The following is a 15,627-nucleotide window of genomic DNA, read 5'->3' as shown; positions in this document are numbered from 1 at the left end:
GTCTCTCTCCCTTCTTCACCCACGGTTCTGCCTACCCATTCATATCTAGGGATCACTATTGCTATCCTCTGAGATCACAGCCCCCCTTCTTTGCCTTTTCTCTGTTCTACCCTCAAAAGGTTTTATAACCAATAATGGAGTTTCTTTTCCTGTCTGCTCCCATTACTGCCTCCTTCTGTTTGTAGAATTCTGACTGGCTGCTGTGTGCAAGTACCTAGACTTATTGTTCCACTGAGGCAGGTAGACTTCAATGATTCCATCTGACTCCTCTCTGCAATGTTTACTACAATAAAACAAGAGGCCTCATTGCTTTGAATAAAAATGGGGAGATCCTACTTTCTGGCCTAGGGTTCAAAATTAAGCCTTGCATTTTCCTAGGGGCCCATAATCAATCACAGAGGCATTTAGATGGACAAACTATTTGAAAAACCTTTCCAGATCTTTGCTTAACCAATTAATAGGCTATCCTTAATACCTATCCATTGGAACCTATAAAAAGATCTGTAATCGAAACTGCCTTTCAAGAGCTGCAGTTTTCAGAGTGTGGTCCCAGGACCAACATTATCAGCATCACCTTCTTTTATTAGTTTATTAGGAATACACATCTTTGAACACAACCTTGGACCCACTGAATCAGAAATGGAGGGTGGGGTGGACCCACAGCCTGTGTTGAACAAGCCCTCCAGGTGATTCTGATGTGCACTCAAGTGTGAGAACTGCTGCTTCAGAGGGAATATTCCTGCCACTCAAAGATCTGCAGTGTCAGTTGCAAAATTCTTAGAGGCAGTGTTGGAGAAACGAGGGAAATAAACTGAAATCAGAAGACATGGGTCAAACCCCCCAAAGTCATGACCTAGTCAGGAGCTAGTACAGATCTGTAAATAAGGTCAATATCAGCACCTCAGAGGGATATTGACAGAATTAAGTAAGATAGCCGTGTGAGATTTGGTAAGACAGCCACGGTGCCCAGCACTTGATGCATGATGCTTAGTAGTTCCCTGGTCTTGTCTTTATGTATACAGCTCCAATGAAACCAACAAAAAACAATAATTATTATAGAAAACAATAAAATCTTTTAATATACCACTTTATTCCGCCAATGAGCAGAAAACCTAAGTTCAAAATCCATTTGACGAAAAAACAGTTGAGGTATTTATCCCTAGTTGAGTTAGTTCATTTATTTTCACTTATAAAGGTGTAGCACTTTTTTTCAATTTAATCACTAACATTTGAGCAACTTTTAAAGCCAAGCACTGCATGTTTCTCCAAAAAAAAAAAAAAAAGGGTGAATATAAATGAGTCTATGTGTACGTGTGTGTCTTTGAGGGACAGTTAGGAGAGAAACAATTTTGACTCAAAAGGAAACAAAACAACAGCCTTATTTGGGGAGAAATGTAGAAATGAAGAATATACGTAGCAAGTCAGGGCTTTAGCATCTGCTGAGCATGGTCAGGCCTGTTCTTACTGAATTGTGATCTGGTTTCAGGATGAGACAGTAGGCGAAAAGAGTAAAATAGAAAAAAGCCCACGCCTGGGCAACGAGGCAAGACCCCGTCTCTACAAAAATTAAAAAATTAGCCAGGCATGGTGGTGCGTGCCTGTGGTCCCAGCTACTCAGGAGGCTGAGGCGGGAGGATCACTTGAGTCCAGGCGGTGGAGGCTGCAGTGAGCTGAGATCGTGCCATTGCACTCCAGCCTGGGCAACAGACCACGACCCTGTCTCAAAAAAAAAAAAAAAAAGGAAGAAGAAGAAAGAAGAAAGCAAAGTATTTCCTAAAACTGGAAACCATAACTTATGAAAGTGAGATACTTAAAAATGTCTCTATTGGAAGGCACCACAAAACGGGTCATTTTGTCAAGTTCTTGCGCAGCTTGAAGGAATCATTGAGTCGCCTTGGGCGGATCTCCTCGCGCCACCAGGGGGCGCGCTGGGCCTCCCAATGCGGCCAGGCAGGCAGACGCAGTTTTCGTCTTTGAGGTCCTGTCATTCTCTGTATAAACAAGTTACGTTCAAGTGTTTAGGATATAAATTACGACCATGCCGGCTGCCTCGGAAGGAATGTAAACACAGCACTGTGGTCGGAGCAAACTCTGAAACTGACTTCATAATTTATAGCAGGCCCCCGAGTAGCTCACTATAAAAGAAAATAAAAAGGCCTTATTTAACTGCAAATATGATAATGGAGAGACAAAAAATGTTTAAATCACTTCTTAATTTTAGAAGATATAGGAAGGAAACCTAAAGATTAGAAAGATGGTTAAGACTTTCGGAAACAAGATGTTTCACTCAGGAGACGCTCTTTGCAGTGAAATTCACTTAGAATACAAAAACCCTGGGGTGTGAAACAGTTCCCTACGAATACCAAGAGTCTGGTGACTGACTGGGAGAAAGACCTTTTAAGGGATAAGAAACAAAGGTGAGTTTTCCAATCAAGAAAGAAAAAGCAAAAAACAAAAACAAAACTCCAGCCCTGAATTGGAGAGGAAAATGCACAGCATGATTGGAGCAGATAATTTCTCTGCTTCTCTCAGACCCATTGTCCCCAACATGGCTCGTGATGGTGAAGGGCTGCTGGGACAGAAGGTCAGTCCTCCTGCCTAGTTGGCCCATTTTGCTCTTCCATCGGGAGCGTCACCAGCTCTGCCTGTAACACTGGTGACTGGGAAATCTAGCAGGAACAGAAAAAGGGGCTGAGGGGTTCCCTTGTTAAATCCCTGGTTAAAAGGGAGGAGTGGGGAGAGGAGGCCGGGAGGAAGGAAGGGCTGAACCGGCTTGCTATGTGCCGATGCTGAGCAGGGCCAGCCAGGCTCTGAATTGGAGGGTGGGACAGGCCGCAGCCACAGAGCAACGTGTGGGGAGTCCAGCTTCTGTATTAAACTCCCCAAGGAAGTTAAACCCCCTGCTGGGAGCCTGCCCCCTGCAGCTCAGGGATCCCCCTGCATTCTTCAGATCTGAACCCCATTTCTGACAGCATGTGACCGCCACCCATAACAAAATTGCAACGTGCAAAGGGAAGAAGCAGGGTGCTGTTCTTTGGGCATCCAACCCTGGAGGGGGGCTTACCACTGTGCCCCACATCTGTCAACCCATGCCAGTCGGGAGGGAGAGAGGGCAAAGGGCAGAACACTCCCCGGGCACAGGAAAGAAAACAGAAGGGGCACAAAATTGGTTTCCTCAAAATCAAACCCTGGTCGGTATCTTGCCTGGTTTTCTTTCTAGTTCCTTTCACCTTCTGGTTTTTGTTTTGCCAGAAAAAGCTGGGGTGAAGTAAAGAAAGAAATAACAGAAAACGTTTCTTCCACTGTTTTTCTCCTGAGAAGACTCACAATCAGAACCTGGCCTGTGTTACTCAAGGCACAGACCCCACACCATGTCAGTTACACCACTGGAGGGGGTGTGGGTAGAGTTGCACAGCTGCCTGCCGGGGAGGAGAAACTGGCATCCATTGCTCTCAGGGTGCCCGAAGAGAAAATCAGCCCCTAAAACAACTATTTGTTATATACATTTTATTGAAAAAAAATTTTACAACAAAATATTTTGGCAAACTGTAAAAGTATACATAAGTGCAAATATATCCTCCTTTTAAAATACAAGCAAAGTGTGAGTATACACGGTCATAAAAATATCTTTAAAATATGGTGGTAGAAAACAACCTTGTAAAAACGTTGTATTGTCACAATACTGAAAACCACTTTCTTAAACTAGACACATTGTTTCTAAATAATTCCTTAATAATGTTCTTTGGCACCTGTATCCAAATGTAGTGTCTGGGGAAAATGACTCTCCCACTCAGCTAGGCAACAAGAAGAGGCTTTCTTGAAATCTTGTGCTTAGCACTGCCTTTTTGAAAAGCACACAAGTTTTCTTAGACACACACACACACACACAACTTGTCTGCTTTTTTCACACCCTGATTACTGAAGGCAACGAAGATCCCACAGATACACGTTGATGCCTTACGCATGGCACATCTTCCCACCTGAGTCTGCCCTCTCCCTCATGTGGGAGCCTGCAGGTATTCAGATTGGGGAACGCTACCTTGCCAGCGGTTGTCCTTCTTCCAGCAGTAGGCAAATAACAGTGACCAACGCGATCCTGGGCATTCTGGCTAAGTGGCAGGTGTGTGGCTTACTGCTATCCGCGTGCATGTGACTTGAATCCGTCCCAGTTTCTATCTGCCCCCTCTGAGGAGGGGAGAGGAGAGAGCGGCCATCGCTTGGCCTCTTTCCGTTCACATGACGCAGGGCTTAATATCCTGACAGACGCTCTGGTGGTGATGGTGATAATACGACCCGCTAGCTGAGGGATGGAAAGAAGAAATCCCATTGAAGTTGAGGACGAAATCTTTTCTGTCACACACTGGAGTAGAGTGATGCTGGTAACGGGGCAGTCCCACTGAAAGAAGAAAGAAAAAAAAACCTCTTCAGAAACAAAGTCATCCAGTGGATGGCAGGGTGTCTTATTTTGCCTCAGAGTACAAAAGGTGCTGCTGTGCCTTTTAGTAAATTGCTAGACAGCTGGTAGAGAAAGCCCAGCTTTAGAAGTAGCTCAAACACACCAACTGCACGTCATAGAATTGCTTTGGAATCATTATGTTTTGTTTTGATGCTCGCACAAACACAGAGCAAGTTCCCCCTCGAGGGGGATTCTTATGTCCTGGAATTCCAATTTTATTCTCTGAGGCTGGGGCGTGCACTTTAATCTCAGAATGAGCACAGGTACCGGACAACTAGACCCAGACTCTGGTTCCGGGTCTCTCCCGGCAGAGCTCCTGGCCTGTGCTGCCCTGAGCCCTGGCTTCAGGGAGGGCCAAGCACCCTACCCCAGAAACACCACTGCGGCCTTCTTTCTGAGCCTTGTTTCCCAACTAACTGGGCCGGTCACAGCAGCGAGCGCAGAGGACTCCCTGTGCCAAAGGGGACGATAGAAAACAACCCAATCGCAAGATGAAGGGATGGGGCAGAAAAGCACGCCTCTTCTCCTGCCCCTCCGCAGGCATCTTCGTGGGTCCCGAACGTCTTAGACTTCCTCTAGAGAAGCCGGGACTTCAGGGCGCAGAGAAATGCCCTTTGGTCCGAAGCATCTGGCAGCGCGAGGAGTCCCTGAGGTAGCCCCAGGCTGGAGGGGGACAGAGAAGGCCTGGACCCTGCTCTCCCGGGGCGGCTCCCCGGTCCCCGGCCTGCACCGGGCCGCTTGACCTCCACCCGCCGCCGGCTTTTGCTTTTGCTTTCTCGGCGCCTCCTGGCCCCGGGGCGCAATCGGCCCGCAGTGCCCTGCGCACTGGGCCCCAGAGGCTGCTGGACCGGGCCCTCTCGGCACCGGGCTGCGTTAGGTCCATTCGCCCGGGTCTTTTCTTAGTTAACCGAGTGGTGTGGGGACCATAAAGTGCACGTCGCTTCGGGCCGGATTCAGTTTTTCAGTGCAAGAAAACCGTAACCACGGCCCGCCGGGCTCGGGCCCTGCTCTCGTGGCCTCAGCCCCGCCGTGTCCCCGCAATGCCGGAGCGAGGCGGCTGCTCAGGGGCCGCTGCCTACTTCCTTGCCCGCAACACCTACCCGAACACACCCGGCGCTGCGCTAACGCAGCTGCCCTGTCCCGCGAGCCCCGATGTGTGCGCGGCGCTCTGCACACAGGTGAGTTCCCTCGTCGCGTTAAAGCAAGTTCTGATGGCAAGTCCTGGACCACAAAATAGCAGGCTCGGGAGGAGAGAGGGCGAGCGCTCACACCTGCCCACGAAGGCGGCCGTCGGCGCTTTGATGTGCTGAGCGGGATGACAGAAGCCCGAGCTCCTTCCTGAAGTGCTCGCAGGGCTTAATGGAGAACTCCAGGGCAGCCCCTGCGCCGGCAGGGGCACATGGACCATGGCCACCAGGCCCAGGAGCGGAGGGCGCGGCCCTTGGGGTGTGCTGGGGGAGGGAGGGTCGTGCTGGGTGTGTGCGCGTAGACATGTGCTGATCTGTGTGCCGGGGAGACTGCCTTGGCCACCCCCGCGCCTCGCCGGGCCCCCAGGCCTCAGTGGGCGGCGCGCTCCCAACTAGGCCCCGCGGGGTCCCGGTGCATCCGGCCGGCTCCTCCGAAGCCTCCACCGCTGGCGCTCCAGGGAGATGGCAACAGGGCCGGGTGGGTATCCTATAGGGACGGGAGCAAGACAGCGAGGAAGGAAGGGCAGAGGGTCCCTGTCGGGCGTCAGGCCCGAGCTATTGTCTCCCCCGGGCGTTCCCAGACTCGGTCGGGGGTTCTGCGAGGCTCCCAGGGAAGGCCGGCCGCGGGAGGCCGCTGGGTAGGGGCACAGAGGCCGGCTTGCTTTGCTGGGCAGTTTTCACCCCCTCCAAGACAGTAATGTATCCAGATTCCGAAGTTTTGGGAGCTTGTGCCTGCGCCCAGTGTTATGAGGTGGGGCGAGAGCAGCCTTGAGGAAGGGTCAGGAGTCTCTTTCCTGTGTGCTTTTTTTTCTTCCTAGAGTACGGTTTCTCCAAGGCTGCTAAGCCTCAGAGTCCGGGTTCAAGTTGAGTGGATCTGCCGGGAGAGGAGAAGAAGGGGAGCAGGGAGGGCAGCTGGCAGGCTGGGAGAGGAGCAGGCAGGCGGGGAAGGGAAGGGGCCAGTGCACCGAGGGGTGTGTGTGTGTGTGTGTGTGTGTGTGTGTGTGTGTGTGTGTGATTGACAGCCGGTCCAAGGGAATACAAAAATAAGAGGGGAAGGCCGCCTGTATTGGTTACTTGTTGAAATTCCCATAAAATTGAACAAGACTCTGTTCTCAGTGGGTTAAGTCAGGCTAAAATCCTCTCCGGTGTGGTCCTGCCGAGACTGTCTTTGTTTGGTTAACCTCTGAGACCCACATTTAAAAGGCCTATTTGGGAAATTTCACCGTCCAGGGAACCAACATCTTTTGCCCATTTCTGGGCTTTCCTTCTCCCCGGGTGCTCCCGCTGCACACCGGCTCAGGAACACATAAAGCATGCATCACCCTCCAAGCCACTGTCTCATTGCTGTGGGAGGCCAGTGTGAGAGAGTAGCTTGGGGCCTTGCCTTTGACTGGCAGGCCCATGGGATTTTAATCTGCAGCCCTAGGTGCTCCGAGCGAGGGGTTAATGTAAGGGTTTATCTCTGTTCTTCACATTAACCTGGTCAAATATTCAAATTCCCTCTTCCATCCCTACCGTCCCCTCCCACCTTTCACCGCCTTCAGCAAGTCAATAATTTTTCATAATCTGCAACCAGAACAATGTAAACCAGCCACACTACAAGTGGCATCCACAGGGCAGGCGCATTTCTCAGGGGAGTCCTAGCAGGGTCCTTCAGGTCCTGCCACCCAGGACCTGTATCATCAATGTGGGTCCATTGTTGGGCGGGGGGGGAGGCAGGGAAGGGGAGGAGTCTCCAACAGTTTGGTGACCCCCTCCACTGGCAAATGTCCCTTTAGTGAAAGATCCTGGGATCCAGCTCTGTCCCTCCCACCCCCTCCTCTTAACACTTGCCCAGCTGCAAACATCTCGCTGCAGACACCCCAACATACAGAACATATCTGATTCTGACATTTACTTCGGGACAGAAGTACAGCAAAATGAACGCAAGGAAAAAAAGGGACAAAAGGAACTAGACACAGCTTCCTGACCAAGTTCCCCAAAGGCCAGATGCCTTCTCTCCAAGCTAAGTGAGACTCTGAACGGGAGACCTGCAGTCTCCTGCACAGGGATCCCCAAAGAGCCCAGGAAGGCAGGGGACTTTACACCACGCTCACAGCAGCCAGACAATTCTGAAGCTTCGGCTGCTGGCCAGGGATACTGGGAGGACAGTAAGACCCTGATCCCTGCTCCCACGAATAAGATGCCGGCTTTCCCCAGCATCTGCTTTTCCCAGTGCCCTCAGACCTCCTAGCTTCGGGGTCCCTGTTTGTGGGAGTGGCAGTGGCCGCCAGCCCTGGAGGCCTAGAAGCGGTGCGCCCAGCTGGCTGGGCTGGAGCGTGCTGCGTTACCTGAGAGGTCCTCGCGAGCGTTCTGGTGCAAGTAGCTCTGCTCCAGCGAGTAGGAGGACATGCTGGAGTGCAGGCCTGCCGAGGCGGCGGGGTTGCTGCTGGGCGTCAGGGCAGGCGGCTGCTTGAGGTAAGGCGAGGCGCCAGGCGAGCTCCAGTGCGCCGCAGGGCTCGTGTAGGGCGAGTGGCATTCGATGGCGCTCGCCATGGCCGGGGACGAGGGTACCGGGCTGCTGCTGCTGTCCGGCCCGTAGTCGCCGCCGCCGCCGCCCCCGGCCGCACCGACGCCCCCGGGTCCCGCGGGCACCGGGCAGCTGGCCATGTAGGTGGAACCCGGGTTGGGCGACATGTGCGGGACGTGGTGGTGGTGGTGGTGGTGAGGGTGCGCGTGGCTGGGGGCGCCCGCGCCGGCGTCGTAGCCCGCGGGCATCATGTCGAGGCCGCCGTAGCCGCCCTGGCTGTGGCAGCCGAGCGGCGCCGACGGGGGCGCCTGGAAGTCGAAGCCCTGGGGCAGCAGCGACGCCCCGAAGCCCAAGCCGCTCACCACGCGGTGGTACATGGGCTTGAGCGCCTGGCACTTCCGCCTGAAGCCGCGCGGCCGGCGGCGGAACGAGCCCTCCTCGAACATGAACTCGCTGGCCGGGTCGATGGTCCAGTAGTGGCCCTTGCCGGGCCGCCCGAGGCCCTTAGGCAGCTTGATGAAGCACTCGTTGAGCGAGAGATTGTGGCGCACCGAGTTCTTCCAGCCCTGGTAGGCGCCGCGGAAGAAGGGGAAGCGCGCCTGCAGGAACTGGTAGATCTCGCTGAGCGTCAGGCGCTTGCTGGGCGAGCTCTGGATGGCCATGACGATGAGCGCGATGTACGAGTAGGGCGGCTTCTCGGGCCGCCGCAGCCCCGAGCTCGCCTTCTTGGCGCCCCCGCTCCCGGCGCCCGCGCCGCCGCCGCCCGCGCTCTTGCAGGCAGCCGAGGGGGCGCTGGCCGAATTGGAGGAGGACGAGGACGAGGCGCAGGAGGCGGAGGACGACGACGAGGAGGAGGAGGTGGTCTCCGGGGCGGCGGCGGCGGCGGCGGCGGCGGCGGGCGGCGGGCTCATCAGGGCGGCCTGGAGCGCGCCGGGGACCGGGCTGCACGCGCGGCGGAGCGGGGCCGGCGGCGGCCCGCCCTCGGTGGTCATCTGGGACCCGGGAGCGAGGCCGGGCCGCGAGGGCGGGCCCCGGGCGGGAAGCGGAGGCGCCGGAGCGGGGTCGGCCCAGAAGCCCTGCGAGCGCCCTAGCCCGCCGCCCGGGCTGCAGCCGTGGCCACTCCGGGCCAGCGCTTCGGCGTCGCCTCCCTCAGCTCCTCTGGGGCTTCTGGCGGCGGCGGCGGCGGCGGGCGGGAGGCAACGCCCGGCGCATCCCTCCCCGAGCCGCGGGCCCTGCCTTGCGCAACGGCCTCCCAGGCCGCGGGGCCGAGCGGCCGGCGCCGGGCGACTGCGCCCGCGAGTGGGACCGCGGCCTGGACCCCGGGGACGAGCCCGACGTCTCCCTTCAGGAGCGCTCCTCGCTCTGTCTCTCGGACTTCCTCCCTCCCTCGCCCTCCCCGGCCGCCCTCCTCGCTCCCTCCCTCCCTCCCTCCCCCCCCACCCCGCCCTGCCCCCTCCTCGCTCCGCGCCGCCGCGCTCACTCCTCCCCCTCCCGACCTGGCGGCCGCCTCCCTCTCTTATCTCGCTCCCCGCTCTCCAGGGTCTCCTCGCTCTTCATTCCTCTCGCGGCCTCCTCCCCTTTCCCTCACTCACCCTCTTTCCAATTGAGGGATCACAGACTCACTCCGGTTCTGCCAGGGGGACGACCCCCACCCCTCGCAAAACTCGACCACCTCTGACTTCATGAAATATTCTTTCTGTTTGCCCCCCGCAGCAAGCCCCGCGTCCCATCCCAGGACCCAGCCCCGCCCCTCCGCGCCCCCTTCCTCCTCCTGGCCCGCCGGGCCGAGTGGTGCTGCTGCGGGTGCGGCTGCTCGGAGCCTCCCTGGCCGCCCTCCCCAGGGCCGATACTGACTCCATCTGTCAACTTCGTTTAGACTTTGCCGCCCTCAGCCACACGCCGGGGTGCCAGACGCCCAAAGGTAACGTGCCAATCCTCTCTCTTTCTGGCAGGGCCTGCAGGCTCCCCGACAATTGTTAGGGCGACTGGGGGCCGCCGCAGGGTTGCGGGCCGCTGGCGATCGTGGACGTTTTCGGAACTTTGAGCAGAGGGATTTACACTGAGAAACCTAGGCCAAGTTTCAAAGACTCTGGAAACCTGGATCTCATGGGACTTAGGGTTGCATTTGCTTCCACTTCTTCCCCCCACCCCCGCACCCCAGTTAGTGTTCTGTAAGAAAAAAGTGCAAAAGAAAAAGGAAGGAAGGAAGAAAAGAAAGAAAGAGAAAGAAAAAGAAAGACCCTGAGATAAGCGAGATGGCTATATTTATAGTCAGTCCTGAAGGGGTGTGCAGCTGTCACTAGGTTTACATCCTCCGTCTTAACATTGCCCACCCAAAACTGTGCCAGGTCTCAGCTAACTCCTGTCCGAGAACACTTCTCCCCAGTTGTGGCTAATTCCTCCCTAAGTAAGAGTCAGGCTCTGAGAGAGATGTGCCCTCGGGAGCAATCACTTCCAATGAGACCCGACAGTTAGTTATTGGATTACACGTGCAGGGAAATGTAGTCCGACCAGGGATAGGAGCTGGGAGAGGGAGGAGGAGAGCAGGAGGCCGGAGCTGGCGGGGCCTCCCAAGGGCTGAAGGGGGAGGCCCAGAAAGAAGGTGCTGCAGACCAGCGGACCAAACAGGAGGTAGAGCTGGGCACCCCGCTGCGTCTAGGCTGAAAGGACCGAGGTGCACGGGTGTGCCTGCTGGGGAGCCTGGGGAGTTGCAGGAGGCAGGAGAAAGGGAGGTTGTGCAGTAATCAGGAGGAAGACACCAGGCAAAGAGCCTTCACAGCCGCACAGCCTAGGCAGGCCCCCTGGGGCGGCAGGAGCCCTGTGTGCCCCTGGAGTGCCGGGGGACTGCTCCTGGCTGAGTGTGCTGGTGGGGCTGTAGATGCAGAGAGGGCGGGTGGGGAGGGGAGGGGTATGTGGGAGGGGGGTGGGCCGGGGCTGGCCCCAGACAGTGACCTGAGGTTGAGTGGAAGCAGGCTTTTTCCATCAAACCCTGCCTGGATACCACACACAGAGACCGAGTGTCAGTTTACTGCCCTGAGCCGGCTCCTTCTCCCTAAGCTCCACAGTAATTAGACAAAGAAAACCTAAATTAGCTGAACAGGCGTCGACAGCTTCCTCCAGAGCACCCCTGGTACCTACATGGGAATGTGTCCGAAAATGGCTTGATTGTAGCCGAGAGTCAGCTAAGAAAACACCGCCAAACCGAACTCAGTTTACCACTCATTTCCAATAGAAAAAAGAAACAAGTCGCTCTTTTCCGGGTGGGATGTTTTGATTGGGTTGGGGTAGGGCTTCGCAGTTGTTTCCACTTTCTAAGAATTTCTGACTGACTGCTGAGCGTTTTTGGGGGGTGCGTCCCCATATATTTCATGGTATTTTTTTCTCTTGCCCTCATTTGTCATTTTGTGTGGAATAACTTAAAAATACATAACTAAATATGAAAGTAAATATAATGTGTTCACTAAACCAATGCTCTAAGTGCCTAAAATATAATTATTTTCATAAAATAGAAGCTGGAGTGGGGAGGACAGATAGGATCTTAAAGGAGCTCTACTGACATAGAGTTCAGTGTGTGTGTGTGTGTGTGTGTGTGTGTGTGTGTGCTTTAAATGGAAAGAGCCCAGGGGAGAAGCTTGTGGGGGAAAAGGACAATTATCTCATTTGTAGGTGGGGGCGGTGGGCAACGGGCTTTGGAAACATTCAGTACTCATTGTCACTTAGCCATGGACTCTCTCTGATTCTCTGTGCCTGAAAATTATATGTATTTGGATCTCAGGGAATACAGATCCAACTTGTTAAGAGCAGGCCTTAAAAGGTTTTAGGACCCGGAGACTGAAGAATAAAAGGCGCTAACCTTAAAATCCAGGCAGGACCAGTGATAACCTTCTATACTAGTAGCTCCCAGTTTTGGGGTTATGGGGTCATCCTCTGAGAATACGATGGAAGCTATGGAGCCAGTTTCCAGAAAAATACTTCCAACTTGCCTGAGATTTTAGGAAGTCCACAGGTACTCATTAAAACAAACAAGGAAACAAGCAAAAAACCCCAGATTCTTTTAGCTTCTACCAATTCAGCTGGTTAAATTATGAGGGATTTTTTTAAAAGGCTCCTTTCTCCATCCAAGCAACAGCAGTATCCATTTTACCTAAACTCTAAACTTGCAAGAAATCCCACTTAGAGTGTGGTGAGTGTTATGAGGGCCGGCCAGGTCGTGGGAAGGCAGTGGACATTGGAGAGCAGTTAGGGCCAGGAGGCGGTCAGCTGACTGGAAGCCTTCCCTCTCTGTAGGGGTCTGCATACTGCCCCTGTAGACCCTGAACTCCAGAAAGATAAGCAGCTTGGGGGCCTTCTTAAGTTATATCAGCAGGAAGGCTCCTCTCCAAAACTCTTTCTTGGATACCCCACTTCTGCTTCTGGAAACTATTCTCATGGCATAGACCACCACCACGTCTACAGTGACTAAACCCTGCATCTGTTTGTTACAGACCTCGCAGGTACCATCTTGTCACCCACCAAGTGGCCCAGGTATCATCATCCTCCTTTTGAGGTGAGGAAACTAAGGCTCAGAGACTGGGTGACTGGCTACAAGTCACGCTGGGGCAAGTGACAAAGCTGGCCAGCAGCCTGGGCCTGGAACTCCAAAGTCAGTGTTCCTTCCACTGCATTACAGCAAAGCCTCTCTGAGCTTTGTTTTAATCACTGATATATACAAATCTCTTGAGTAAGAATGTATGTGATAGCAAATTATGTCAATTTCTGTATCCCTGGGAGGAATACCTTAATTTCTGGTTAGCAGACAGGGTTTAAAAGGAAAGCTGTGTTTGTCTCTGAAACAGAGCCTTGCTTAGGATGGCTCCCCCACCCCCCTACTGGGGTTCCTTCTTATGGGGGTGAGCTCTTCACTCACTTTCACTCCCTATAAATAACATGAATCTTGACATTTTTTTTCTTACGGGAAGGGAAGGTATGGTTCATATAAATGAGTCTAGATCAGCCCAGGCAGTCCTTGGTTAACCAAAACTATGCAGCCTCCGCCGCGATGGGTCCTCTCTCCATCCCGCTTTGGTTGACTGTCCCGTCTGGGCTGCGGGTTCCTTTCCCCTCCAACCCTTTAGGTCCCACCCCTGCCCCAGCGCAAGGGAATGTAAACTTCAACAAGCTTGGGTTTCTCCGATTTTGTTCTGTAATCGGCGTTTTATTCTAGGAAATCTCCTCATTATTGCGGTTTAAATTCTGTGTTCTTAGCATGCTTCCTCTGCTTCGTGGGTTTCACATGAAATGGCTTAGACTAAACCAGTCACCGACAGGAGAGACGCATCCGCACCGCACTGTTTGCGGCCATCTAAGACGCACCCCTCCCTGCCTTCCGCCTGGGCCCGGGAGGAGGGAAGCCTCTTCCCAATTCAAAATGAGACTGACCCCTGTTTTCGCTCTGTATTTAGGCGCAAAGTTAAGTCGTGTAGAGGATTCTCGAACTCCTGCGAGGCCTTTCTAAATGTGGACGGCGAGAACTCAGTGCTGGGGCCTGGGGGTGTCAGCGTGATTGAGGAAATGCTGGAAGAGCACCAGCCTGCACGCTGCAGAGGCCTCTTTAGAAACTTCACATAACAGCAGAAGATGCGGACGGGAACAGCAATAGGAGGACGCGCGGAGGCGGGGGTTGGAGAGAGCAAGGTGGCCGGGAGTGGGAATTTCACACCTCTCCTGGAGTCTGCTCTCCTTCCTAGGTCCAGAAACCCCCAGACCTCCGGGCCTGAACACCAGCCACCCAGTTCCCAGTGTTTATTTGGATAGAGTCTTCCGCTCTCCAAAGGCTTGTGTCCCGGTCAGGGCTCTTTTTATAGCCACCTTCATGAGAGATCTCCCAGTAGCCCCAGATCTCCTGGCCTGGGCGGTGGGCACGACTCGATGACCCACTGGCCAGGTCTGAGGGTGCTTGAAGGGGGAAAAAGGGGTCCAATCTACGAGACCCTCAAGCGAAGACCGGCCTCACCCCATTTCCGCACTTCCCAAATTGCCGGGCGCGGGTCCCCTCGGTTGCGAGACCAAAACCTTGGGATGATCCCAGGAGCCAGCCCAGCGGCCTGCAGGCCCCGATCCCAGTGCGCAGGCCGCGGTACCAGGCGGAGCACCTCTTCGACTTCGCCTACAGCCCGCTGCGTTTAGGGGTGGCGAGTTGCGGGGTTGCGGGGAGTGAGTGGAGAGCAGAGGCGGCCCGCTTTGTCCAAAAGGCAGAGAGAAGGGGCTTAGGTTGGAACAGAGTCGGTCTGCGTCTCCCAACGGGGGAAGAAGGGGGGGCACCCAGCGGCTAAAGAAAATAAGTCAGGAAGCCTGTACCGCAAGTATTCCTGGAAGCAAGTGTGGGTGCCGGTGGCCCTCAGCATGTTAACTTTTCGCCCACTGATGCTGCTGGAAGGGACGTCCCCATGCTTTAGGTCGCAGGACAGAGCTTGCAGATGCCTTGGAAACCGGTAGGAGCCAAGCTGCGTCCTGGGAGACCCCCGAGCTCTGCACACCTTCCCTCCGCCCTCCCGGCTGTGGCAACGCTCGGGGGTCGTTTAGGGGTCCGCGTGCCTTTTGCTCCGCGGCCCCCGGCCTCGGATCCCCTCCTCCCGCCCGCCTTCCCAGGCTGGGGAGAAAGATGGCTAGGCCGCGCACACACGCTGGGCAGGGTTGGAGGGGCCGCGGGGCCCACCCAGGAGGCGCCCGCGGGGCCTGAAGAGGTCACTCCGGGCACTGCACGCGGGAGGGTGCGCGCCGAGGGCTACGGAAGACACCAGCCAAAGGCGCCCGGAGGTCGCCAGGCCGCGCCTGCGATGCCCTCCAACCGAGACCAGAGGCTGGCCGGCTGCGGCCGCGCGGGGAAGCGCCCTGGAGGTCCCAACCCAGCCCGGGCAGGGCTTTCTTCTCCCGTCTGGCTGGTCTCCTCCCCGCTGCCCTCCCTTCCCCCAAATAAATAAATATTTCCGAGGGCGGCGAACTCGGCGGGGCGCCGGGTCCTGAGCGCCTGGGCGATAGATGAACTTCCTGGCGCATCAAAACTCCCCTCTCGTCCTCCCCGCCGAGCTCAGGATATGGGGCGCGCTCGCTTCTCTTCAGAAAAGGAAACGTAGCTCTTCCAAAAATATAAATCAGCTCTGACGTCCAAATATTTCTTTTGTCCTCCAGCATCCTCTGTGGGGATAAATAAAACGTGCTCGGCGCCCAGAGGCCGACTAGGGACCTCAGGGCGCCCCGACGCCGCCTCCGAGAAGCTGCTTTGGGGAGCCCCCCAACCCCACCCCTCCCCGCAGCCTGGCCAAAGGCCCCGGGCCCCGGATGCGGCCTGACCTTCGGGCGGGCTGCGGCGGCGGGAGGGAGGGACACAAGCCCTCCGCGGAACCCCGGCGGCCTGCGAAGGCGAAAGGCGCCCGAGGCCGACCCAGTCGGGGAGGGGAGCTCGTTCGCGATGGGCCAAGAGAGGCCGGGGAAGCTCC

The 15,627-nt window shown here is 55.4% G+C and overlaps 1 protein-coding gene, 1 long non-coding RNA gene and 1 other non-coding gene across 8 annotated transcripts in view, besides 3 other annotated features; 2 read left to right on the top strand and 1 right to left on the bottom strand.

Moving 5' to 3' along the window:
* On the bottom strand, positions 3,489 to 9,516 carry FOXF2 (forkhead box F2). Its single transcript, NM_001452.2, has 2 exons — positions 7,974 to 9,516; positions 3,489 to 4,396 (listed from the first exon to the last, which is right to left on the bottom strand). Exons 1-2 carry the CDS (start codon positions 9,142 to 9,144, stop codon positions 4,233 to 4,235), a joined length of 1,335 nt encoding a protein of 444 aa, NP_001443.1. The 5' UTR covers positions 9,145 to 9,516; the 3' UTR covers positions 3,489 to 4,232.
* Positions 7,469 to 8,334: an enhancer, noted in NCBI's record as "H3K27ac-H3K4me1 hESC enhancer chr6:1390993-1391858 (GRCh37/hg19 assembly coordinates)". NCBI's record gives its function as "activates a minimal SCP1, AML or CMV promoter by ChIP-STARR-seq in naive H9 embryonic stem cells {active_cell/tissue: H9 hESC(naive)}" and the evidence as "EXISTENCE:reporter gene assay evidence [ECO:0000049][PMID:30033119]".
* Positions 8,033 to 15,627, top strand: part of FOXF2-DT (FOXF2 divergent transcript) — a 67,585-nt gene continuing 59,990 nt past the window's right edge. For 2 of the 6 annotated variants that reach the window (NR_187218.1, NR_199825.1), the window contains exon 1: positions 9,631 to 10,073. This is a non-coding gene — a long non-coding RNA (FOXF2 divergent transcript). Of the gene's footprint in view, positions 8,101 to 8,552; positions 9,011 to 9,630; positions 10,074 to 13,593; positions 15,303 to 15,627 lie in introns of those variants that run through there. The other 4 variants (NR_189294.1, NR_189293.1, NR_189295.1 and 1 more) reach the window with 4 other exon arrangements.
* On the top strand, positions 8,681 to 8,778 carry MIR6720 (microRNA 6720). Its single transcript, NR_106778.1, has one exon. It is a non-coding gene; the product is annotated as a microRNA 6720 (primary transcript).
* Positions 13,763 to 14,542: an enhancer, noted in NCBI's record as "H3K4me1 hESC enhancer chr6:1384785-1385564 (GRCh37/hg19 assembly coordinates)". NCBI's record gives its function as "activates a minimal SCP1, AML or CMV promoter by ChIP-STARR-seq in primed H9 embryonic stem cells {active_cell/tissue: H9 hESC(primed)}" and the evidence as "EXISTENCE:reporter gene assay evidence [ECO:0000049][PMID:30033119]".
* Positions 14,543 to 15,322: an enhancer, noted in NCBI's record as "H3K4me1 hESC enhancer chr6:1384005-1384784 (GRCh37/hg19 assembly coordinates)". NCBI's record gives its function as "activates a minimal SCP1, AML or CMV promoter by ChIP-STARR-seq in naive H9 embryonic stem cells {active_cell/tissue: H9 hESC(naive)}" and the evidence as "EXISTENCE:reporter gene assay evidence [ECO:0000049][PMID:30033119]".

Source organism: Homo sapiens, chromosome 6, assembly GCF_000001405.40.
Source record: "Homo sapiens chromosome 6, GRCh38.p14 Primary Assembly".
Classification (NCBI taxonomy): domain Eukaryota; kingdom Metazoa; phylum Chordata; class Mammalia; order Primates; family Hominidae; genus Homo; species Homo sapiens.
Note: the sequence above shows the minus strand (reverse complement) of the source record. Positions and strands in the feature narration are given on the sequence as shown.